The sequence below is a fragment of the Homo sapiens genome, chromosome 10 (assembly GCF_000001405.40).
Source record: "Homo sapiens chromosome 10, GRCh38.p14 Primary Assembly".
NCBI classification, from domain to species: Eukaryota; Metazoa; Chordata; class Mammalia; order Primates; family Hominidae; genus Homo; species Homo sapiens.
Window position 1 is genome coordinate 68,621,811 of NC_000010.11, and position 26,766 is coordinate 68,648,576.

Here is a 26,766-nt window from a genome sequence, read left to right on the forward strand (position 1 = left end):
GAAATCCATTCCCTATATCTAAAAGTTCTGTTTAAACCTGAGCCTTGAGGGAGAAAAAGGGTCTTGGGAACAGGAGTATGGGCTCTAAACTGAGATAGTTATATGTTTGTCTTTTTTTTATTTGGATATCATTTGATATTTATAAAATGATTACAAAAGTAGTACAAAGAATTCTCTTATACTCTTTATCCAACATCCCCAAATGTTATCTTACATAGCCTTAGTATCAGTCAAAACTAAGATGTTAACAATAACACAGTGCTATTAACTATGTTAAAGATGTAACTCAAATTTGGCCAATATTCCCACGAATGTCCTTTTTTGGGTGCAGGATTCCATATAGGATACCTATGCCCTTCCTTCCTTCCTTCCTTCCTTCCTTCCTTCCTTCCTTCCTTCCTTCCTTCCTTCCCTCCTTCCTCCCTTCCCTCCCTCCCTCCCTCCTTCCCTCTCTCCCTCTTCCCTCTTTGGACAAGGCCTTGCTCTGTCGCCCAGTCTGGATGGAGTGCAGTGGCATGATCTCGGGTCACTGCAGTCTCTACCTCCCAGGTTCTAACAATTCTCCTGCCTCAGCCTCCAGAGTAGCTGGGATTGCAGGTGTCTGACACCAGACCCAGCTAATTTTTGTATTTTTTTTAGTAGAGACGGTTTCACCATGTTCGCCAGGCTGGTCTGGAACTCCTAATCTCAGGTGATCTGCCTGCCTCGGCCTCCCAAAGTGCTGGGATTACAGGCATGAGCCACCACACCCGGCCCCTCATTGCATTTAGTTGTCATTTCTCCTTGATCTCCAACACAGTTCCACACAGTTCCTCAGTGTTGAACAGTTCCACAGTCCTCTTTCAACATAGTTTCTCAGTGTTTGCCTTTCATGACATTGGCAGTTTTAAAGAATCTTGGTCTGTTATTTTGTAGAATGTCCCTGAAATTGGTTTTTAAGAAAATTTTTGTAGAGACAGTGTCTCGCCGTGTTGTCCAGATTGATCTCAAACTCTTTCCCTCAAAGGACCCTCCCGCCTTAGCCTCCCAGGGTGCTAGGATTACAGGCGTGAGCTACTGCTCTTGGCTACTCAAATTGGGCTTGTTTGGTACTTCCTCATAATTAAATTTAGGATATGCATTTTTGGCAATAATCCACAGGAGTCAGGTGCCCTGCTGTGTATCATGTCAGAAAATCACATTATCTGGGTTAACTTTGATCTCTTGGCTTAAGGGTTTTACAGAGATCCTTGGCCAGGTTTCACCTCTGTAAAATTACTGTTTCCCTTTGTAATTAACAAATATTAATATATTGTGGGGAGATACTTGGAGACTATGCAAGTCCTTTAATCGTATTTAGCATCTACTTTGCCTCCAATACATATTAATGTGGTGTTTGCCAAATGGTCATTTTCTGTTTCTACCATTCCTTCTACATCTATTAATGGAAATTCTACTGTAAAAAAAGTGTTGTCCTTTTTCTCCCATTTCTTTGTTCATCAATTATTTGTTATATTAATATAAACTTACAGCTATTTATTTTATTCTATGGGCTATAAACTATTACTGACAAATATATGAAAGGTTAAAATAGGACTGTTGGATAGAAGGGAGGAGGAAACAGCCTACTACATACTGTTTCGAGGTAGTTAGTTTCCTGTTGCTTTGGATACTTGGCAAAGGTTGAGGAATCACTTAATAGAGTTAACAGAGTCCACCCCTGGCATCAGTAGATGGACTCGATGCCCTTGAAGGTCTCTTCTACCTTTGAGATCCTCTCAACGGCTTAAGCAGAAAACACAGATGGCCACTTCATAACTTACTTAACTACTAAGCTTGCATAGTCAGGGTTAGCCTCTGGTGTATCTGTCACATAATTAGTAAAATCCAGCAACACCACCAGGCAACGGGTAAAGTGTGTAGAAATTCAGTGTACATCGAAACAGACCATCCCTGATGATTCCACCACACTCATTTAGCTGAGGTCTCACTTGCAAGACTCAATATACTGATGCCTAAGTAGCTCAAAGCGACTTTTCCTTGGCATGTACAAAGAAGATTATTTCATTTTCTGGTGTTGTTTTCTAGTAACAGCTACACTGCTGTGTGATGTGTTGTCTGCTGCCACCCCAAATCCTTTTCCAGCACTTTTTCCTTTGAATTTCAGCCTTGGATTATTCTCCCCCAGACATTTCCATATTTTTCAGCTGACTTGTGTACATGTTTCCTGCCTCCCCCATTTGTGAAATATTTTCATGAAGCAATATAATAGTTTTAACACACATATTTTCTTTTTTCTTTCTTTCTTTCTTTTCTTTTTTTTTTGAAATGGAGTCTCGATCTGTTGCCCAGGCTGGAGTGCAGTGTCGCAATCTCGGCCCACTGAAACTTCCCCATCCCGGGTTCAAGCAATTCTCCTGCCTCAGCCTCCCAAGTAGCTGGGATTACAGGCGCGTGCCACCATGCCTGGCTAATTCTTGTGTGTGTGTTTTTTGTTTGTTTGTTTCTTTCTTTTTTTAGACGGAGTCTTGCTCTTGTTGCCCAGGCTGGAGTGCAATGGCGCTATCTTGGCTCACCGCAACCTCCGCCTTCCGGGTTCAAGCAATTCTCCTGCCTCAGCCTTCCGAGTAGCTGGGATTACAGGCATGCGCCACCACACCCAGCTAAGTTTATATTTTTAGTAGAGGCAGGGTTTCTCCATGTTGGTCAGGCTGGTCTGGAACTCCCGACCTCAGGTGATCTGCCCACCTCAGCCTCCCAAAGTGCTGGGATTACAGGCGTGAGCCACCGTGCCTGGCCTTATTTTCTTTTTCTCTTTCTTTCTTTCTTTCTTTCTTTCTTTCTTTCTTTCTTTCTTTCTTTCTTTCTTTCTCTCTCTCTCTCTCTCTCTCTCTCTCTCTCTCTCTCTTTCTTTCTTTTCCTTCCTTCTTTCTTTCCTTCTTTCTTTCTTTCTTTTTTTTGAGACGGAGTCTTGCTCTGTCGCCCAGGCTGGAGTGCAGTGGCGCAATCTCAGCTCACTGCAAGCTCCGCCTTCCGGGTTCACGCCATTCTCCTGACTCAGCCTCCCGAGTAGCTGGGACTACAGGAGTCCGCCATCACGCCCAGCTAATTTTTTTTTGTATTTTTAGTAGAGATGGGGTTTCACCGTGTTAGCCAGGGTGGTCTCGATCTCCTGACCTCGTGATCTGCCCGCCTCGGCCTCCCAAAGTGCTGGGATTACAGGCGTGAGCCAGTGCGCCCGGCTTCTTTTTCTTACTGTATGTTCTCTTACAACATCAGTTAAATTTTCTTCCCTTTTAGTAGCCTGTAGTTATTGGTCTCATTTATTATTGGCCCAACACTTGGATTTTACTCATTTTCACTTAATTGTTAAATTTAGAAGGTCTTAGGTTTTATTTGAATTTCTACTAGCCAAGTTTGCCCGCTCCTGGCAAGGGTCCTTTGTTGACTGTATTTGATCCAGTATCTAGTCCCTATGATTGCACTGTCTCAAGCCGATTTGTTTGAATCAGTTTTGCAAAGAAAATGCCAAGAAGCCTTGTAGAAATTGCTTTATTATTAATATTCAGATGTAGAATGCCTGCCAAGGCTTCATCACACAGGAGCCTTGGGGTCTCAAAAGTCCCATTAGTTTTTGCTGCTGTCATCTCATTTGTTAGCAGGCATCAAAGTCGCTTAAAAGCGGGTCACAAAAGGCTACTTGGCAACGTTCCACAGAGGTGTAGATTAAAGATATTTTAGGGTCAGGATGTAACTTTAACAGAAAACCTTCAGTGTTCACATATCAGGAAATCACATGGTTTTCTGGTGTTATTTTTACCTATTTTCATAAAAAGCCTTACACTCAGCTGTGTTGGTCTTTGCAACCTTCCTTAATTGTATGATTTTAAGATTCATTGTTGTTTTTAGTTGTGTAACACCAATCTTTTTGGACCTCTGGAATTCATACTATTGAAGTAATGCAGTCCCAGATTTGAATTTATCTGTTTATAACTGTTAGGAAATACTTAGAGTGAGCCAAGTGTAATGGCTCACACCTGTAATCTCAGCACTTTGGGAGGCTGAGGCAGGTGGATCGCTTGAGCCCAGGAGTTTGAGACCAGCCTGGGAAACATGAAGAGACCCAGTGTCTATAAAATACAAAAAAGCCTGGCATGGTATCTACATGCCTGCAGTCCCATCTACTCAGAAGGCTGAGGGGGGAGAATCACTTCAGCCCACAAGTTCCAGAGTGAGGTGAACCGAGATGGTGCCACTGCACTCCAGCCTGGGCAACAGAGTAAGAACGAGACCCTATCTCAAAAAAAAGAAAAAAAAAAAGAAAAGAAAAAGAAAAGAAAATACTTAAAGGGGGAGGGAAAATACGGTGTCCTTTTCTGTATGGTTGTACTGACTTCTAATGTCTTTTAAAAATGTTTTCTTTTTTACTTTGTCTCTCTCTTTTTCTCTTTACTCGTTTTTTTATTTTTTGTTTTGTTTTGTTTTGTTTTGTTTGGACACAAGGTCTCATTCTGTTTCCCAGGCTGGAGTAAGGTGGCATGAGCAGCTGGGACCTAGATACTATTTATTTGCTTGCTTGTTTGTTTGTTTATGTAGATACAGAGCCTCTCTATGTTTCCCAGGCTGGTCTCGAACTCCTGGCCTCAAGGGATCCTCCTGCCTCAGCCTCCGAAAGTGCTGGGGTAACAGGTGTGAGCAACTGCACCTGGCCTAGACATTTATTATTGTCTTTTTCTTTATTTTAAATTTATTTTATTACTTTATTATTATTATTTTGTTTTTGAGACAGTCTCACTCTGTCACCAGGCTGGGGTGCAGTGGCATGATCTCAGCTCACTGCAACCTCTGCCTCCTGGGTTCAAGCAGTTCTCCTGCCTCAGCCTCTCGAGTAGCTGGGATTATAGGTATGCGCCACCACACCCAGCAATTTTTTTATATTTTTGGTAGAGACGGGGCTTCACCATGTTAGTCAGGCTGGTCTCGAACTCCTGACCTCAAGTGATCTGCCCTCAGACTCCCAAAGTGCTGGGATTACAGATGCAAGCTACTATGACTGGCCCCTTGTTATTTTATTATTTATTTATTTATTTTGAGATATTCTCATTCTATCGCCGAGGTTTAAACTTTAGGTTGTGAAATATTCATGCAAGTCTGTCTTTAAGACATTTGTACAGTTAAGAATTATTAGAAAAAGAACACTTGGATGGGCGTATTGGCTCATGCCTGTAATCCCAACACTTTGGGAGGCCGAGGCGGTGGATCACCTGAGGTAAGAAGTTCGAGACCAGCCTGGCCAACATTGTGAAACCCCGTCTGTATTAAAAATACAAGAATTAGGCTGGGCGCAGTGGCTCATGCCTGTAATCCCAGCACTTTGGGAGGCCAAGGCGGGCGGATCACCTGAGGTCAGGAGTTCAAGACCAGCCTGGCCAACACGGTAAAACCCCGTCTCTACTAATAAAATACAAAAATGAGCCAGGTGTGGTGGTCCGTGCCTGTAATCCTAGCTACTCAGGAGGCTGAGACAGGAGAATCACTTGAATCCGGGAGGCAGAGGTTGCAGTGAGCCAAGCTCACGCCACCGTACTCCAGCCTGGGTGACAGCAAGATTCTGTCTCCGAAAAAAAAAATAAATAAATAAAATAAAAATACAAAAATTAGGCGGATATGGTGCTGGACGCCTGTAATCCCAGCTACTCGGGAGGCTGAGTTAGGAGAATCGCTTGAACCCGTGAGGCAGAGGCTGCAGTGAGCCGAGATCGTGCTACTGCACTCCGGTCTGGGTGACAGAGCGAGACTCTGTCTCAAAAAAAAGTAAAAAGAAAACTCAATCACCATGCAGTTAAGAAATAAAGTGGCCGGGCGCGGTGGCTCACGCTGTAATCCTAGCACTCTGGGAGGCCGAGACGGCAAATCACCCGAGGTCAGGAGTTCAAGACCAGCCTGGCCATCATGGTGAAACCCCGTCTCTACCAAAAAAATAAAAAAATACAAAAATTAGCCAGGCGTGATGGCAGGTGCCTGTAATCCCAGCGACTTGGGAGGCTGAGATGGGACAATCTCTTGAACCTGAGAGGCGGAGGTTGCAGTGAGCTGAGATCGCACCACTGCACTCCAGCCGGGGCGGCTGAGCGAGACTATGTCTAAAAAAAAAAGAAGAAAGAAAGCACTGCCGTGCCCGGCCCCCAAATATTTATTATTATTATTACTATTATTATTTTTGGGGGGGACAGAGTCTTACTCTGTTGCTCAGGCTGGAGTGCAGTGGCGTGATCTCGGCTCACTTGGCTGGGATTATAGGCACCCACCAACACGCCCAGCTAATTTTTTGTATTTTTAGTAGAGATGGGTTTCGCCATGTTGGCCAGGCTGGTCTCCAACTCCTGATGTTAGGTGATCCGCCCGCCTTGGCCTCCCAAAGTGTTGGGGTTACAGGCATGAGCCACTGCCCCCGGCCGAAATGACAGTTTTTTAACAAAACAAATTGAGAGAAGAATGCAATAAAGGCCACTAAATCTGTTTTCTCAAGAAAACAAGTCTTTTTCTCTGAGTGAATGACTAGAAGGTGTCGTCGTTAAGTTTAAATCTCTTAATAAGAGTTTTCTACATGATTATGCCAGTATTACAATTCCTTTACATTATCAAAGTTCATCCTTAGATTTCTCCAGTTGTTTCCCAAATAAAACAATTTTGAGCCTGGGGGACAAGCACCAAGATCTGTCCTTGAAGTCCAGGAAGGGATAGCATTGCAATCAAATCAGTAAGTACAATCAATGGATTTGATAGAGAGCTGTGTAGGGATAGTAAAGGGAGGGGTGCTTAGTTTTATCTAACTGAAGCTGGTGAAGAAATGTGTAGTTTACTGTCACCTTTGTCCAGTTCTTAGAGATGAATGGGTGATTTTGGGGCTGCTGGACCGGGGAAGGATCGAATAACAAGGGCATTCTAGGACTTGAAGCAAGGCTGCTTGAAATAGCATTTGGCAAGGCTCCAGACCTAAGGAAATCATGCAGAGGCTGTGGTTTTCTAAAACCCCTCCTAGGTGATGTTGATGTTTAGCAGGTGCAGAATGCAGCCTGAAGGAATGAGAGTTTCATATTAGAAGGAGCCCCTTAAAACTGCAGTCTAATGTTTGAAATTTGGGTAGGGCAGCTAAGAAACTGACTTTGTGATTTCATTTCAATCAATTTAAATTTGAAAACTGAAGCAACAGAAAACATTTTTCTCTAAAATAGAAATTCATCGTTTTGGTATCCCTGCATTTTATTTTAGTCACTAAAAATTTAGCATGTATGCCGGGCGCGGTGGCTCATGCCTGGAATCTCAGCACTTGGGAAGCCTGAGGTGGGGGGGTCACCTGAGGTCAGGAGTTTGAGATCAGCCTGAACCACATGGTGAAACCCTGTCTCTACTAAAAATGTGAAAATTATCTGGGTGTGGTGGCGAGTGCCTGTAACCCCAGCTACTTGGGAGGCTGAGAGAGGAGAATCGCTTGAACTTGAGAGACAGAGGTTGCAGTGAGCCGAGATTGTGCCACTGCACTCCAGCCTGGGCGACAGAGAAAGATCTCGTCTCAAAAAATAATAATAATAATTAAATAAAAATGTAGCATCAAATTGAGATGTATTAATTGTAACTTTTACTTTAAAATATATCTATGAAATATAATCAGATATTTAGCTTGTAAGTATTTTTGAAATGTTGAGATATTTTTAATATTGCCTTAAATAAAAGTATATTATTATTTTTAATTTTTTTTTTTTGAGACAAAGTCTCCCTCTGTCACCAGCTTGGAGTGCAGTGGCATGATCTCGGCTCACTGCAACTTCTGCCTCCCGGGTTCAAGTGATTCTTCTGCCTCGGCCTCCCCTCCCAGTAGTTGGGACTACAGGTGCCTGCCACCACACCCGGCCAATTTTTTGTATTTTAGTAGAGACGGAGTTTCACCATGTTGGCCAGGATGGTCTCGATCTCCTGATCTTGTGATCCACCCAATTTGGCCTCCCAAAGTGCTGGGATTACAGGCGTGAGCCACTGCACCCAGCCAAAAGTATATTATTAATATTAATTTCATCTGGTTCTGTTGGTCAGTGCTTACCTAAAACAATATGAACGATTGGAAGTGCTACATACTTAAAGTCACCCTCAATTCTGAGACTAATCCTGTAAGGGTGTGAGTTGATAGAAGATTAGGTTCTGAAAATATTTGTCAGAACAACCACTAGAGTGTAATCTCCATAAATCTGGTATCTTTTTTTATTTTCTTAACCATTTCTAGAGCATGTTTTAGGTACTCTATATTTGTTGAGTGAAGACAGTGAGGCAGAAGGAGTATGAGTAGAGGACACGGGCTGGATGGAAGAGGTGCTAAGTAGATCGACTCTGCTGAACTTGGTGGCTGAATTTGGGTCTTGAACATAGGGGTATTTTGAGAGGAGCCTTGGGTTATTATTAAGTGGGTACTGGGATTAAAGCAGGTATGGGGAAGAGGTTACTCATAACTTTTAGACATGGTTGAGTTTTGTTGTTGTTGTTGTTTTGACACGGAGTGTCGCTCTGTTGCCCAGGCTGGAGGGCAGTGGTGCTATTTTGGCTCACTGCAACCTCTGCCTCCCATGTTCAAGATATTCTCCTGCCTCAGCCTCCTCCTGAGTAGCTAGGATTTTAGGCACCTGCCACCACGCCCAGCTCATTTTTGTATTATTAGTAGAGATGGGGTTTCACCATGTTGGCCAGGTTGGTCTCAAACTGCTGACGTCAGGTGGTCTGTTTGCCTCGGCCTCCCAAAGCGCTGGGATTACAGGCATCAGCCACTGTGCCTGGCCTAGACGTGGTTGACTTTTGTCTGGTGAAGATATCCAGTTGGTGGTTGACTGAGTTTGGAATTCAGGAGAAAGATCTTGTCTTGATAGGGGAGTTATCAGCAAATAAGTGTAGGTTGATGCCAAGTATGTGGACAAGTGGAGAGATTGGACAGAGGGCATAGGGGAACACCATCATTTATAGGTGGACGTGGGAGCCAGCAAAGGTAAGTGAAATAAAGAGTGGAGAATTGAAGTGACGACGATCCTAAAGAAGTGAGTAATACTATCAAAATATATTCTAGTCAGGTGCGGGGGCACTCAGCCTTTTATCCCAATACTTTGGGAGGCTGAGGCAGGAGGATCCCTAGAGCCCAGGAGTTTGAGACCAGCGTGGGCAACATAATGAGACCTTGTCTCTACAAAAAATTTTAAAATTAGCCAGGCATGATGGTGTGTGCCTGTATTCCCAGCTACTTGGGAGGCTGAGGCAGGAGGAGACTCGAACCCAGGAATTCAAAGGTGCAGTGAGTTGTGATTCTGCCACTGAATTCCAGCCTAGGCAATAGTGCCAAACTTTGTCACAAAAAACAAAACAAAACAAAAGAAATATATTAAAAACAAAGATGATTCTGGCATTCCATTGAATTTGGCAGTGGGGACTACGTTGGTGAATAGTTTCAACATAGTGGTGGGAACAAAAACCTAATTGTAGTAGATCGAAGAGTGCATGTTAGACAGACAGTGATTGCAGACAATTATTTGGAGGACTTTGGTTGTAAAATGGTGCAATGTGGTAGGGTATTAGCTAACTATCCCCAGAAGATTTTGTTTTCTTTCTTCTTTTTTTTTTTTTTTTTTTTTTGTATTTTTAGTAGAGCTGGGTTTTGCCATGTTAGACAGGATGATCTCCATCTCCTTATCCGCCCACTTCAGCCTCCCAAAAGTGCTGGGATTACAGGCGTGAGCCACCACCCAGGTTTTGTTTTCTTAAGATAGGAAAGACCTGCTTGTTATTGCCTGTGGGGAAAGAGCCAGCAGGGGACGATTTACAGATCTCCAAACTTTGGCTCCAGAAAGCTGATTTTTCTCTTAGGAATGTGTAAACACGTCTGTGCATATTACCACCAGCTAAGTGCTTGATGGTAAATAAATACTCGGTATTCTTGCAGCTTATGTTCTTAGAAAGCTGAGACGTAAATAGACATTACTTTTTTCTTTAAGGGGTAACATTTGAGGAACTGACTAGAGACCCAAGACCACAGGGGCAATAGTGAAAGAACTAAAAGCCTAAACGTTGATTGGTGGCTTGTCGGATCATGAATTAACTAGTTATCTGATGGCCTTCTGCTTGGAGTTAGGCAAGGTCCCTGAAAGCTATCTTTGATCATGAGGGAGCATTCCACGAAAGATGACTTGATATTGGCTAAACCCTAGTAGAAAACAGGATCTGGCCGGGCGTGGTGGCTCATGCCTGTAATCGCAGCACTTTGGAAGGCCTAGGCGGGTGGATCACGATGTCAGATCGAGACCATCGTGGCTAACATGGTGAAACCCTGTCTCTACTAAAAATACAAAAAAATTAGCGGGGCGTGGTGGCGGGCGCCTGTAGTCCTAGCTACTCAGGAGGCTGAGGCAGGAGAATGGCGTGAACCCGGGAGGCGGAGCTTGCAGTGAGCCGAGATCCCGCCACTGCACTCCAGCCTGGGTGACAGAGCCAGATTCCCTTTCAAAAAAAAAAGAAAGGGTGCAGGGCGGGTGGAGTCGCGGAGTAGTCCTCATGGCCTCCACGCCGGAGCCCGGTGAGCCCGAGGAGAGGAAGTCCCTTAAGCTCCTAGGATTTTTAGATGTTGAAAATACTCCCTGCGCCCGGCATTCAATATTGTATGGTTCATTAGGATCTGTTGTGGCTGGCTTTGGACATTTTTTGTTCACTAGTAGAATTAGAAGATCATGTGATGTTGGAGTAGGGGGGTTTATCTTGGTGACTTTGGGATGCTGGTTTCACTGTAGGTATAATTATGCAAGGCAAAGAATCCAGGAAAGAATTGCCAGAGAAGAAATTAAAAAGAAGATATTATATGAAGGTACCCACCTCGATCCTGAAAGAAAACACAACGGCGGCAGCAGCAATTGAACAATCTTGAGCATAGAAAAGAAGTCAATGTAAACGAAGTTAAGATCAACCACATAAAACATTTCATGTGCAATAAGCTCTCAATCAAGTAAATAAAGTTTAAGTTGTAAAAAAAAAAAAAAAAAGAAAGAAAACAAAATTGTCTTAAGAAAACCAGATTTGTCATAGGAAGAATCTCCTGAACTCTTAAGGAGCATTTAAATGGTATTTGAATTTTAAAAAAAAAAGGACAGATCACCTGAGGTCAGGAGTTCGAGAGCAGCTTGTCTAACGTGGTGAAACCCCGTCTCTACTAAAAATACAAAAATTAGCTGGGCGTGGTGGTGGGCGCCTGTAATCCCAGCTACTAGTGAGGCTGAGGCAGGACAATCACTTGAACCCAGGAGGTGGAGGTTGCGGTGAGCCAAGATTGCCCCACAGCATTCCACCCTGGGTGACAGAGTGAGACCTCATCTCAAAAAAAACAAAAACAAAAAAACAAAGTGTTGTTGAAGTCTGCCTTCTATATTGAGCCTTTACAGTATGAGTGAACATAAACCTTATTTGTAAAACTAGTGTGATTTAATCTTGTCTGATTAATCTATATTTGTATGGTCTTTTAATTTGTTTTTTTAAAAATTAATATGGAAATTTATACTGGGTTTTTTTTTTATTGTCTTGTTTTGTTTTTTGAGAGACAGTCTTCCTCTGTCACCCAGGCTGGAGTACAGTGGTGTGACCACGGTTCACTGCAAACTCTGCCTCCCAGACTCCAGTGATCCCTTCCACTTTAGCCTCCTGAGTAGCTGGGACGGCAGGCATGCATCACCATGCCTGGCTAATTTTTGTATTAGGTTAGTGCAAAAGTAACTGCGGTTTTTGCCATTACTTGTAATATTTTTTGTAGAGATAGGGTTTCACCATATTGAAGGTGAAACCCCACGCTGGTCCTGACCTCAAGTGATCTGCTCACCTTGGCCTTCCAAAGTGCTGGGATTGCAGGCATGAGCCACGGTGCCCAGCCCTGGGGTATTTTTTAATGCTAATAAGTTTTCACTGGCTCTTAGTCTCCCAGTTATATGAAAGTATAAAATATGATGAAAAAGGTAAAAATATAGAACATATCAGGATTATAGAGAAATGAGGAGGGTTTGTAGTCCAAGGAATATTTGGAGGGAAAATGGACCATGACCTTTGACCACATCCTCAAGGAATGGATTATTTTTGTGAGAAACAGTCTCACTCTCAGCTCACTGCAGCTTTGACCAGCTGGGCTCAAGCGATTCTCCTGCCTCAGCCTCTTGAGCAGCTAGGACTTCAGGCACGCACCACTACACCTGGCTGATTTTTAAATTTTTTGTAGATACGGGGTTTCACCATGTTGCCTAGACTGTTCTTGATCTCCTGGACTCAAGCAATCCTCTTGTCTAGGCCTCCCAAGGTGCTGGCTGGCATTACAGGCATGAGCCACCGCAACTAGCTAAGGATTGGATTCTAAATTGAGTTCTAAATTTACCCATTTTCCCTAGCAGCTTGCTCTGAACTCAGTGTGTACTGTAAATATTGATTTTGGACATAAGATGGTAATATTTTGAAGAGCAATGCTATACTCCTACAACTCACAGTTAACATCCTTTGACACACAAATGAATAAAACAGGCCAGTGGATTTGGAAATTTGATAATCTGTACAATCTAAGAAAGTAAACTACCAAAAGAAGTAACTTAAATTCATTGTAACTTTAATTCAGTGCATCTTAGTTAGCATTAGTATCCAGTGGAATTCATTGTGAATGTTAACACTTACTATTTGCTACTGAATTGTTAATTTTAAAACAGTGCCTGGGGGTTAGACACTAGGACCTTGTTGTTAGACCTCTGGTTTGAGGCCTGGTTCTTGATACTGATCTGAATAAGAAATGTTCAGTGAGTGGAAATACTAATATTACTTAGTGGGAGATGCAAATGAGAGAATTCCTATGAAGTACTGTTCATAATGATACCTGGCAAGTAGTAAATTCTCAGTACATAATAATAGGTATTCATAAATGTTCTTTTTTGTTTGTTTGTTTGTTTTGAGATGTAGTCTCACTCTGTCGCCCAGTCTGGAGTGCGGTGCTGTGATAGCTCACTGCATCCTCCGCCTCCCAGGTTCAAGCAATTCTCCTGCCTCAGCCTCCTGTGTAGCTGAGATTACAGGTGTGTGCCACCATGCCTGGCTAATTTTTGTATTTTTAGTAGAGACTTGGTTGTATATTTTGTATATTTTAGTAGAGACTGGGTTTCACCATGTTGGCCAGGCTGGTCTCAAACACCTGACCTCGTGATCCGCCCACCTCAGCCTCCCAAAGTGCTGGGATTACAGGCATGAGCCACCATGCCTGGCGCAATATATATATATAATATATATATTTTTTCCAATATTCTTTTATTAATTGTGAGTTTGAGACTGGAATTACTAGGTTTTTCTCAAATGTTGGAGGACAAGTAGAAAAGGAAAGGTTTTTCTCAAATGTTGGAGGACAAGTAGAAAAATGCCTATCTAATAGGCATTTTTCCTTTAAATAAGTCAGTTCATTTCAACATATACTAAAGTCCAGCAATTTGGCTGGGTCTGGTGTCTCACACCTGTAATCCCAGCACTTTGGGAAGCTAAAGTGAGAGGACTGCTTAAGCCCAGGAGTTTGAGACCAGCCTGGGCAACATAGCAAGACCCTGTCTCTTAACAGAAACAACAACCTACAGTTTATAGGAATACATTGATTCATTTAATCCTCACAATGAACTTCTTTAATACATGTTATTACTAGCTCTGCTCCAAAGTTTGTTGTTTGATTCCTGCCAAACCCATGTTCTTAAAAATATATAAAATAGCTAAGATACTGAAAAGAATAATACACTAATCACCAGAGTTGGTTATTAACCTTAAGCATGGGTGGGGGATTGTTCATGGTAAGTGTGAAGAATGAGAAGGTAGTAGGTTTTGCTTTAGAGTCCTCTAGGGCCTGGGCAAGGTGGCATATGCCTGTAATCCCAGCCTTTTGGGAGGCTGAGGCAGGCGGATCACGTGAGCTCAGAAGTTTACAGACCAGCCTAGGCAACAAACCGAGACTCAGTCTCTACCAAAAACAAAACAACGAAGTGAAAATAAAGTAGAGTCCTCTAGGAGTAGGCTCATCAAGGGGCCAAGAGGTGTGAGAGTGAAGCTTCAAGGAAGATCTACATTTTAGAGAGTTTTAAGTGAAAATTCTCCTTGGAGGTCTACAAACCAGACCATTAAGGGGTCATGGCAAGTTAAGTCTGTGGTATTTAAGAAATGATTGAATCTGACTGATAATTCAATTATAATTTGGTAGAAGTTTAAGATATTTGAATAAGGAGGGAAATTGGTAGAATGACAGTTTGAGGCAGATTGGGTGGTCTTAGAAGGTTTTTCCTCCTTTGGGAATAAATTATACTGGCTCATAGCCCCAAAGAAAAAGGAAGATAGCCAGGAATACTTGTGAACAGAGAGCATTAACTCTTAGGTCAGTCATGATTTGCTACACATTTGGAGCCAATCTTCAATTTGCACGTTAAAAAAAATTAAATAGAGGTTTTTGATCCCTCCCTCAATTAACAACCTGCTCAACTTCCCCTCTGCCCTTCACTCCAGCCCTGATTTGAAAGGATTTCTTGTGAGTTCTAAGAAGCCCTGGACAGATGAGGGTGGAGTTCTCGTTTGGGGTAGGAATGAGAAAATTAGAATATCAAAGTAATCCCAGCACTTTGGGAGGCCAAGGCAGGAGGATATCTTTAGCCCAGGAATTTGACACTACTAGCCTGGGCAACAGAGTGAGACCTTGTCTCTACAAAAGCAAAAGTAGCTGAGCTTCAGGGGATCCCTTGAGCCTGAGAGATCGAGACTGTAGTGAGCTGTGATCCTCTTACTGCACTACAGCCTCGGTGATAAAGTGAAAAGGAAAGAAGCCTGGCTCTAGTGAAGAGATTCTGGAAACTTCTGAAGCCTCTGCTGTGGCTCCCATCCAGCCTAGATATGGAAGAGCCATGAGGCCCTACATCACCAAGGTAAGGAGAGTGGAGTCTAGGGTCACACAGTTTCTCAGATCCACTTTTGGGGCAGCACTTTCTTTGACCCTGACTTTCTGTGGACTTCGAATCTCTCAGCTGATGGCTGTAGTCAGTAGGGAAACGGATCAGAGGCAAAGCTCCAAGAATATTAGGTATTCGACACTTGGTTTAGCAGCTGACTTTTGTTTTCTATTATTTTACTCGTTGTGTGTGTGTGTGTGTGTGTGTGTGTGAGTGTGTGTGACAGAGTCTTGCTCTGTCACCCAGGCTGGAGTGCAGTGGTGCAATTTCGGCTCACTGCAACCTCCGCCTTCCGGGTTCAAGTGATTCTCCTGCCTCAGCCTCCCAAGTAGCTGGGATTACAGGCACGTGCCACCATGTTCCGCTAATTTTTGTGTTTTTAGTAGAGATGGGTTTTCACTGTGTTGGTCAGGCTGGTCTCGAACTCCTGACCTCTGGTGATTCGGCCTCCCAAAGTTCTGGGATTATAGGCATGATTCACTGCTCCTGGCCAGCTTTCTTTTTATCCCTAAAAAAAGAAAAATAAATTGATGGCTGAAATTCTGAACTAGTCAAATTAGTTCATTTCACTTCTTTGGGAAAATAAGGTTGTTGGAAAAACTTTGGGAAAAACTGTTGTACAGGTCTTCTTTGAAGAGATTTTTGTTGCTTTTGCCTTAAATGTTCATTTTAGATTTCTCCTTAGGTGAATCTTTGGTGGGTAGCCAGTTGTTTCCTATTCTTTTTTTTTTTTTTTTTTTTTAAGAGACAGAGCCTCATTCTCTCGCCCTCAGGCTGGAGTGCTGTGGTGCCATCTTGGCTTACTGCAACCTCTGCCTTCCAGGTTCAAGAGATCTCGTGGTCGGGCACAGTGGCTCACACCCTGTAATCCCAGCATTTTGGGAGGCCAACATGGCAAACCCCGTCTCTAGTAAAAATACAAAAATTAGCCCAGTGTGGTAGGGCACACCTGTAATTCTAGCTACTCAGGAGGCTGAGGCAGGAGAATCACTTGAACCTGGGAGATGGTTGCAGTGAGCCAAGATGGCGCCACTACACTCCAGCATGGGTGACAGAGTGAGACTCCGTCTCAAAAAAAAAAAAAAGATTCTAGTACCTCAGCCTCCAAAGTAGCTGGGATTACAGGCATGTGCCACCTCGCCTGGCTAATTTTTGTAGTTTTCGTAGAGCCAGGGTTTTGCCATGTTGGCCAGGCTGGTCTTGAACTCCTTACCTCAAGTGACCCACTCACTGCAGCTTCCAAACTGTTGGGATTACAGGCGTGAGCCACCATGACCAGCCAATCTTTTCTTTTTATTTAAATTTGGTTTAATTAAATGGCCAGTGGTACTGGGCACTGTATGGTGGTTGGTTGCAGAACAGGGCCTGACCTCTATACTTCTTAGTAGTGTCAGTGGGAGGAAGTGAATACAGTATCTTAAAGTCAACATTATGAAGGCACCAGTGGTTGTCTCTGAGTTTTTTCCAAAAACACTCAGTTTTCAGGCTGACAGCATAGGTCCTGACAGTGTCATTTCTGATTAGACAAATACTTTGTGGTCTGCCCATTGTAGTGTTTCACATAATACTTTGTTAATAATTTGGTCTTTCCTCAACAATTTGATATATTTACTTTATGCATTCTCAAGAGAAATGAAAATTGGATGTTGGTGAGTGGAGGACAATCTGAGACATTACAATTGGGTCACAGTACCCAAATGGTATGTCCGTGGTATTAAAATTTCACGGAGAGGGTTATTAGGGAAAAAAATGTCTAAAAAAGCCTGGAGGGAATGGTTATTGGTGAAGATGAAAAACAGTTGACAAACCCTGAGCTACCTCTAGTAAAGGTCTTACTTGACCATGTCAATGAACAGACTTCGAAAGGCTTTATTTTTCTATATGATTTGAGTAGCTGTTTCTTTATGGGTTGTTGTTGTTTTTGGAGTAGCTGTTTCTTGATACAGGAAATACTGCATGTATGGAGTTTGTGTGTGTGTGTGTGTGTGTGTGTGTGTGTGTGTGTGTGTGTGTGGTGGAGGGGCTATAGTCAGATTCTGTTCAAATGACTCAGTCATTTCAGAATAAAACACCACATTGCTCCTTTAGACTGGGTATAAGATTATCAAGACAATGGGAATCTGGAAAAATGAGAAAATGGAGAGGGCGTAGGAACTACTAGACCCAGACTTGATCTAAGGAGTTCAACATTATTCTTGCTTCAGGGTGGGTAGGATGGTCCCAGAGCAAGTTCTCGTCTTAGGATAATTTTTAAAAGTGATATGAAATATAACTAATAAAAAAGTTCAAGGGTTCTTAATTAAGCTCATTAATTAATGTGAATGTCTTATGAAGATTTTCTTTTCTTTCTTTCTTTTTTTTTTCTTTTAAGACAGAGTTTCACTCTGTTGCTCAGGCTAGAGTGTAGTGAGGTCAGGAGTGCGAGACCAGCCTGGCCAACATGGCAAAACCCAGTCCCTACTAAAAATACAAAATTTAGTTGGGTGTGGTCCTGTGAGCCTGTAATCCCAGCTACTCAGGTGGCTGAGGCGGGAGAATCACTTGAAGCTGGGAGACGGAGGTTGCAGTGAGCTGAGATCTTGCCACTGCACTCCAGCTCGGGTGACAGAGCAAGACTCCGTCTCAAAGATTACTATTACTATTATTATTACTACTACTACTACTACTACTATTATTATTATTATTATTATTATTTTAGACAGGGTCTCTCGCCCAGGCTGCAGTGCAGTGGTTCACACTGGGCTCACTGGAACCTGTGCCTCCCAGGTTCACGTGATCCTCCCGCTTCAGCCTCCCAAGTAGATGGGACTATAGGCGTGCACCACCACGCTTGGCTAATTTTTAGTAGAGACCGAGTTTCACTATGTCACCCAGGCTGGTTTCAAACTTCAAGCATGCTGGAGTCAAGTCTGCCTGCCACGGCCTTCCAAAGTGCTGGGAATACAGGCGTGAGCCACCATGCCCCGCCCTTTCTGTACATAAATCTTAGAAGGACCTCAAGATCTTTCCTATAGAGAAATACATACACTGAAATTCTCAGTGTTCTTGGATATGCACATCTGTAAAATTAAAAGTACCAAGTCAAAAAATGAGACTCCTCTTTCTGCAATCCTATTAGTGTTAAACACTAGTAACTTTTTATTTTTTTAAGATGGAGGCTCGCCCTGTCGCCCAGGCTGGAGTGGAGTGGTGCTATCTCGGCTCACTGCAACCTCCTCCTCCCGAGTTCAAGCGATTTTCATGCTTTAGCCATCCGAGTAGCTGGAATTACAGGCATGTGTCACCTCGCCAGGTAATTTTTGTCTTTTTAGTAGAACCGGGGTTTCACCATGTTGGTCAGGCTGGTCTTGAACTCCTGACCTCAGGTGATCCGCCTGCCTCGACCTCCCAAAGTGCTGGGATTACAGGCGGAAGCTGACATGCCCTGTCTGTCATTTATTTTATAGCGGAAGACTTTCTCTACCTTAAATTTTTTTTTTTTTCTGAGAGGGAGTCTCACTCTGTCGCCCAGGCTGGAGTGCAGTGGCTCAATCTCGGCTCACTGCAACCTCTGCCCGCCAGGTTCAAGTGATTCTCCTGCCTCAGCCTTCCGAGTTGCTGGGATTATAGGCGCCTGCCACCGTGTCCAGCTAATTTTTTTATTTTTAGTAGAGATGGGGTTTCACCATCTTGGCCAGGCTGGTCTTGATCTCCTGAACTCGTGAGCCACTGTGCTTGGCCTAAATATTCTTTTTCTTTCTTTCTTTCTTTTTTTTTTTTTTTTTTTTTTTTTGAGATGGAGTCTTGTTCTGTCGCCCAGGCTGGAGTGCAGTGGCGCTATCTAGGCTCACTGCAGGCTCCGCTTCCCAGGTTCACGCCATTCTCCTGCCTCAGCCTCCCAAGTAGCTGGGACTACAGGCGCCTGCCACCACACCCGGCTAATTTTTTTGTATTTTAGTAGAGATGGGATTTCACCATGTTAGCCAGGATGGTCTCTATCTCCTGACCTCGTGATCTGCCCGCCTTGGCCTCCCAAAGTGCTGGGATTACAGGTGTGAGCCACCACCCAGCCTAAATATTATTTTTCTTACATCTCTTGTGTATGTATGTGACATGTAATATTTATACAATATTTATATGATTTTTATGTAATGATATTATGTAAATAAAAATATTTATGTAATATTTATATGATGGTCGCATTTTAGTGTCCATAGTCTTATTGCAATACTACTACACTCATTAGTTTGCATATTATTTTTGAGGCTGCTTACTAGATACAACAGGAGTAACTGTGACAGGTTGTATGGCACATGAAGCCTAAAATATTTACTATCTGACCCTTTACAGAAAAGTTCGCCGAACCTTGGTGTAAACAATGTGTCTTTTGGCAACATGATAATCTGTTTAATCTTAGACATTTTTATTCTTTTTTTTCTTTTTGAGTTGGAGTTTTGCTCTTGTTGCCCAGGCTAGAGTGTAATGGCACGATCTCGGCTCACTGCAACCTCTACCTCCTGGGTTCAAGCGATTCTCCTGCCTGAGAGGCAGGGTGTCACTTTGTTGCTCAGGCTGGAGTGCAGTGATTCCACCACTGATCAGTTATAGTTTTGAATTTCTATGTTTGTGACCTAGGCCAGTTCACATCTCCTTAGGCAACCTAGTCTAGTGGTCTCCTATTCCCAGGAGGTTACCATTTATTTATTTATTTATTTATTTATTTAATTTTATTTTATTTGTTTATTTTTTTTTAAGACAGACTCTCAGGCTGGAGTGCAGTGGCACGATCTCGGCTCACTGCAGTCTCCGCCTCCCGGGTTCAAGCGATTCCCCTACCTCAGCTTCTCGAGTACCTGGGACTACAGGCGTACGCCACCCTGCCCGGCTAATTTTTTTTTTGTATTTTGGTAGAGACAGGGTTTCACCATATTGGTCAAGATGGTCTCGATCTCCTGACCTCGTGATCCGCTCACGTTTGCCTCCCAAAGTGCTGGGATTACAGGCATGAGCCACCGCACCTGGCCTATTTATTTATTTATTGAGACGATGTCTCATTCTTTTAACCTGGCTGGGGAACAGTGGCATAATAGTATCTCACTGCAGCCTTGAACTCCAAGTCTCAAGGGATCCTCTGGCTTCAGCCTCCCCAGTAGGTAGGACTACAGGTTCATGCCACTGCATGCGGCTCTTTGTTTTTTCATTTATTCTTTTACTAAATTTACAAATAAATATTGTGTATATTTATCATGTACAACATGAAGTTTTCAAATGTGTATACACTGTGTAATTGGAGTTATCATTCTTTTTACAATTGGTATCAATGGGAACACTCCACTGTCTCGATTCCTGTGGTATGTCTGATGAGCTGTTTCAAGGTTTTACAAAATTAGTCTGTAGTCCCAGCTTCTCTAGAGCTGAGGCAGGAGACTTGCTTCAGTCCAGCACTTCAAAATCAGGCTTGGCAACATAGAGAGACCCTGTCTCTACAAAAAATAGGAAAAATATAAATTAACCAGTTGTGGTTACAGGCGCCTGTAGACCCAGCTACTCAGAAGGGTGAGATGGAAGGATAACTTGAACCTGGGAGTTCGAGGCTACAGTGAGCCGTTATCGTGCCACTGCACTCCAGCCTGGGGAACAGAGTGAGACCTTGTCTCAAAAAAAAAAGAAAATAAAGTAGATAAATAAGGATTAGAGGAGGAAATAGGGAGTGATTGCTTAAACAGGGCACAGCATTTCTCTTTGGGGTTTTGAAAATGCTCTGGAAGTAGAGAATGGCTATGTTGTACAACAGTACAAATAAACTAAAAACCACTGAATTGTACACTTTTCTTCTTTTTTTTTTGAGATGGAGTTTCACTCCTATTGCCTAAGGTGGAGTGTAGCAGCACAATCTTGGCTCACTGCAACCTCTGCCTCCCGGGTTCAAGCGATTCTCCTGCCTCAGCCTCCTGAGTAGCTGGGATTACAGGCACCCTCCACCACGCCCAGCTAATTTTTGTATTTTTAGTAGATACGGGGTTTTGCCCTGTTGGGCAGGCTGGTCTTGAACTCCTGATCTCAGGTGATCTGCTTGTCTAGGCCTCCCAAAGTGCTAGGATTACAGGTATGCGCTACTGTACCCAGCTGTATTGTACACTTTGCAACTGTAAAGTGATGGATTTCATGTCATGTAAATTCATCTCAATAAGAAAAATTAGGTTGGGTGCAGCGGCTCGTGTCTGTAACCCCAGTACTTTGGGAGGTCAAGGTGAGCAGACCACTTGAATCCAGGAGTTTTGAGACCAGCCTGGGCAACATGGTGATATCCTGTCTCTACAACAAATACAAAAAAATTAGCCAGGCATGGTGGTATGTGCCTGTGGTCCCAGCTACTCGGGAGGCTGAGCTTGGGAGGATCATCTAAGCCTGGGAGGTTGAAGCCACGGTGAACTGTGATTGTACCACTGCACTCCAGCCTGGGTGACAGAGTGAGACCCTGTCTCAAAAAAAAAAAAAAAAAAATGAAAGAAAGAAAGAAATTGAAACTATAGCAGTTACTCTAAAGACCCAAACACTAAAAATAACACAATGCCCATGTCCAGCAGAAAAAATAACATTGTTATGTATTTAATCAGTGAACTTACTATACAGTGAGAATGGACTACAAGTATACTTAACAGCTCATTTTGTGAAAACTTAACAAGCTATATACTTATGATTTGTACACCTTTCTATGTGTATGTTCTACTTGAAAACAGTTTGTATCAAAATAATAGGTATGGCTGTGCACGGTGGCTCACACCTGTAATGCCAGCACTTTGGGAGGCTGAGGCGGGCAGATCACCAGAGGTCAGGAGTCCAAGACCAGCCTGGCCAACATTGTGAAACCCCATCTCTATTAAAAATACAAAAATTAGCTGAGTGTGGTGGCTGTAATCCCAGCTACTTGGGAGGCTGAGGAGGAAAATTGCTCGAACCCGGGAGGCAGAGGTTGCAGTGATCTGAGATCACACAACTGCACTCCAGCCTGGGCAACACAGCAAGACCCCGTCTGAAAAAAAATAAATTATTTAAAACATAAAATAAAAAATAAATAAAATAGATATTGCCTAATGAACACTACCGATGTAAAAGTAGTTTATTTTTTTATTTTTTATTTTTTTTGAGACAGAGTCTCACTCAGTCACCCAGGCTGGAGTACAGTGGCATGATCTTGGCCCACTGCAACCTCTGCCTCCCGGGTTCAAGCGATTCTTGTGCTTCTGCCTCCCAAGTAGCTGGGATTACAGGTGTGCACCACCACGTCCTGCTAATTTTTGTATTTTTAGTAGAGACAGGGTTTCACCATATTGGCCATGCTGGTCTTGAACTCCTGACCTTGTGATCCGCCCACCTTGGCCTCCCAAAGTGCTAGGATTACAGGCATGAGCCACCACCCCTGGCCTTTGATTTTGTTTCTTGGAGAAGAGGTCTCACTTTGTCACCCAGGCTGGAGTATAGTAGCACAGTCCTGGCTCATTGGAACCTCCACCTCCTGTGCTGAAGCGATGCTGTCACCATCAGCCTCCCGGGTAGCTGGGGCCGCAGGTGTGCATCACCACACCTGACTAATTTTTTTTGTATTTTTGGTAGAGACTGGGTTTCACCATCTTGCTCAGGCTGGTCTTGAATTCCTGGGCTCAAGCGATCCTCCCATCTTGTCCTCCCAAAGTGCTGCGATTACAGGTGTGAGTCACTATGCCTAGCCTAGTTGTCTTTTCTTTTTGTATATTATGTCCTTTTGGTATTTTATGACTTCGCTGAATGTGTGAAAAGCAAAAATAATATTTTAGGCTGTATCCACAGGGGCTTTACATTTAGTTGTTATTAAATTTTAATCTTCTATGGCTGTTATTCAGATATTTAAGTAGATGACATAAGTAATTTCTGTATTTTACAGGCAGATTTTGACAACAAACCAGTAAATGGCCCCAAGTCAGAATCCATGGACTACAGTAGATGTGGTCATGGGGAAGAACAAAAATTGGAATTGAACCCACATACTGTTGAAAATGTAACTAAAAATGAAGACAGCATGACAGGCATCGAGGTGGAGAAGTGGACACAAAACAAGAAATCACAGTTAACTGATCACGTGAAAGGAGATTTTAGTGCTAATGTCCCAGAAGCTGAAAAATCGAAAAACTCTGAAGTTGACAAGAAACGAACCAAATCTCCAAAATTGTTTGTACAAACCGTAAGAAATGGCATTAAACATGTACACTGTTTACCAGCTGAAACAAATGTTTCATTTAAAAAATTCAATATTGAAGAATTCGGCAAGACATTGGAAAACAATTCTTATAAATTCCTAAAAGACACTGCAAACCATAAAAACGCTATGAGCTCTGTTGCTACTGATATGAGTTGTGATCATCTCAAGGGGAGAAGTAACGTTTTAGTATTCCAGCAGCCTGGCTTTAACTGCAGTTCCATTCCACATTCTTCACACTCCATCATAAATCATCATGCTAGTATACACAATGAAGGTGATCAACCAAAAACTCCTGAGAATATACCAAGTAAAGAACCAAAAGATGGATCTCCCGTTCAACCAAGTCTCTTATCGTTAATGAAAGATAGGAGATTAACATTGGAGCAAGTGGTAGCCATAGAGGCCCTGACTCAACTCTCAGAAGCCCCATCAGAGAATTCCTCCCCATCAAAGTCAGAGAAGGATGAGGAATCAGAGCAGAGAACAGCCAGTTTGCTTAATAGCTGCAAAGCTATCCTCTACACTGTAAGAAAAGACCTCCAAGACCCAAACTTACAGGGAGAGCCACCAAAACTTAATCACTGTCCATCTTTGGAAAAACAAAGTTCATGCAACACGGTGGTTTTCAATGGGCAAACTACTACCCTTTCCAACTCACATATCAACTCAGCTACTAACCAAGCATCCACAAAGTCACATGAATATTCAAAAGTCACAAATTCATTATCTCTTTTTATACCAAAATCAAATTCATCCAAGATTGACACCAATAAAAGTATTGCTCAAGGGATAATTACTCTTGACAATTGTTCCAATGATTTGCATCAGTTGCCACCAAGAAATAATGAAGTGGAGTATTGCAACCAGTTACTGGACAGCAGCAAAAAATTGGACTCAGATGATCTATCATGTCAGGATGCAACCCATACCCAAATTGAGGAAGATGTTGCAACACAGTTGACACAACTTGCTTCGATAATTAAGATCAATTATATAAAACCAGAGGACAAAAAAGTTGAAAGTACACCAACAAGCCTTGTCACATGTAATGTACAGCAAAAATACAATCAGGAGAAGGGCACAATACAACAGAAACCACCTTCAAGTGTACACAATAATCATGGTTCATCATTAACAAAACAAAAGAACCCAACCCAGAAAAAGACAAAATCCACCCCATCAAGAGATCGGCGGAAAAAGAAGCCCACAGTTGTAAGTTATCAAGAAAATGATCGGCAGAAGTGGGAAAAGTTGTCCTATATGTATGGCACAATATGCGACATTTGGATAGCATCGAAATTTCAAAATTTTGGGCAATTTTGTCCACATGATTTTCCTACTGTATTTGGGAAAATTTCTTCCTCGACCAAAATATGGAAACCACTGGCTCAAACGAGGTCCATTATGCAACCCAAAACAGTATTTCCACCACTCACTCAGATAAAATTACAGAGATATCCTGAATCAGCAGAGGAAAAGGTGAAGGTTGAACCATTGGATTCACTCAGCTTATTTCATCTTAAAACGGAATCCAACGGGAAGGCATTCACTGATAAAGCTTATAATTCTCAGGTACAGTTAACGGTGAATGCCAATCAGAAAGCCCATCCTTTGACCCAGCCCTCCTCTCCACCTAACCAGTGTGCTAACGTGATGGCAGGCGATGACCAAATACGGTTTCAGCAGGTTGTTAAGGAGCAACTCATGCATCAGAGACTGCCAACATTGCCTGGTATCTCTCATGAAACACCCTTACCGGAGTCAGCACTAACTCTCAGGAATGTAAATGTAGTGTGTTCAGGTGGAATTACAGTGGTTTCTACCAAAAGTGAAGAGGAAGTCTGTTCATCCAGTTTTGGAACATCAGAATTTTCCACAGTGGACAGTGCACAGAAAAATTTTAATGATTATGCCATGAACTTCTTTACTAACCCTACAAAAAACCTAGTGTCTATAACTAAAGATTCTGAACTGCCCACCTGCAGCTGTCTTGGTGAGTACTTGTGTGCATGTGTTCTTATTTCACCTGCACAAATTACCTCAATCATGACTGAAGCAAATTCTGATTCATCTTTTTTGTGTGATATTTTTTCCCCATTCTTATTCTAACTAAGATGGATTAAGTAAATCTATAACCATTTTTCTGTGGGAACTTTTGGTTCTGCCACAAGAATGGAAAATTCAGCTCATAATTTGGAAAAACAAACTTGGAAAAGGTAAACCCGCTCAAGTGGAAAAATAGGCTGATATATCTCTCAATGTTGAATGTCTGTCAATTTATCGTGCGTAGCATAAGAATGAATTTCGTAGGCCAGGCGCAATGGCTCTTGCCTGTAATCCCAACATTTTGGGAGGCCGAGTCAGATGGATCACTTGAGGTCAAGAGTTTGATACTAGCCTGGCCAACATGGTGAAACCCTGTATTTACTTAAAATTCAAAAATTAGTTGAGCATGGTGGTGCACGCCTGCAATCCCAGCTACTCGGTTGGCTGAGGCAGGAGAATCACTTGAACCTGGGAGGTGGAGGTTACAGTGAGCCAAGATTGTGCCACTCCCCTCCAGCTTGGGCAACAGAGCAAGACCCTGTCTTAAAAAAAAAAGAAAGAAAGAAATAACTTAATAGTTTATTACAGTTTGTTTATTCTTCCTATATTCAAAAAAATTTCAACTTACAAGCCTTTCATTATATTTTTGTGTGTGTGAGATAGAAGATACATATAGAGAATGTAAAACATATGTATAAGTTAACAGTTAAGAAATATATAGCTGGCAGTTGCCGTCCTACTCTAGAATTGAAGCTGGTTTATGTCTTTTTCAGTGTCTAGTGCTTTTACGCTCTGTCCAGTACAAGATCTAATACTGTCTTTTTTTGTCCAAAGAGCACTTGATATTCTGGAATAATATATTTCTATTTCTCTGCAATACAAAGTGTACTTATGTATAAAGAAATTCCATAATCTTGGCCACTTGAAGAATTCATAAGCCTTTCTGAATTTTAACATATTTTAACAAATTTGTTTAATCCTGATTTCCTATTTCAAAAAATCAAAGAATAACCAGTGTGCTAACATGAGTCATGTGCTAATAGCTGACTCATGGACTGATCCCTAACCAATGTATTTCTACATTTTTGTGCCTTAGGAGTCATTGAAAGAGAACATTCTGAACCAATTAGTTTTATTAGTGTGTTAAAAGCCCTGAGAAAATCTTGCTGGGTAAAGATTCTCAGGCAGACCTTATGAGAAATTTCCTCAGTATTTGAAACATGTGAAAGCTTAATTTGAATCCTGTACTGATTAGTTACTGTCTATGGCCAAATTTCAGGTAAGCACTCTTCTAAGAAACCTGTTGACTCTAATATAGCTGTAAAAAAATAGGGAAATTCAATAGATTGTGTCATTAAAGTTCGTTAGGCTGCTTGAAGCCCCATTACTTTGTTTACCATACAACTATGTTAGAATAAATTTTGTGAAAAATCTGTTTTGAACCTCATCCAAATAGGTTTAGTTATTGGAAGTCTTACTTAAAATATGGCTCCAAATCACAAAGACTCAAGATTTGCC

At 42.3% G+C, this 26,766-nt stretch overlaps 1 protein-coding gene and 1 pseudogene across 19 annotated transcripts in view, besides 1 other annotated feature; both read left to right on the forward strand.

The window, feature by feature from the left end:
• Positions 1-26,766, forward strand: part of TET1 (tet methylcytosine dioxygenase 1) — a 134,151-nt gene that overhangs the window by 61,474 nt on the left and 45,911 nt on the right. For 12 of the 19 annotated variants that reach the window (XR_001747211.2, XR_001747212.2, NM_001406365.1 and 9 more), the window contains one exon: positions 22,888-25,195. The exons of 4 other annotated variants lie outside the window; for them this stretch is intronic. Coding sequence is in view for 12 of the 15 variants with exons in the window: in NM_001406365.1 (NP_001393294.1) it covers positions 22,888-25,195 (2,308 nt within the window). In the remaining 3 variants the exon portion in view is untranslated. Of the gene's footprint in view, positions 1-14,805; positions 14,964-22,887; positions 25,196-26,344; positions 26,528-26,766 lie in introns of those variants that run through there. 3 more of the 19 variants (XR_001747210.2, XM_017016686.3, NM_001406369.1) reach the window with 3 other exon arrangements.
• Positions 6,809-7,009: a silencer, noted in NCBI's record as "peak999 fragment used in MPRA reporter construct". NCBI's record gives its function as "represses an SCP1 promoter by STARR-seq MPRAs in K562 erythroleukemia cells {active_cell/tissue: K562}" and the evidence as "EXISTENCE:reporter gene assay evidence [ECO:0000049][PMID:32103011]".
• Positions 10,527-11,026, forward strand: COX20P1 (COX20 pseudogene 1; annotated as a pseudogene).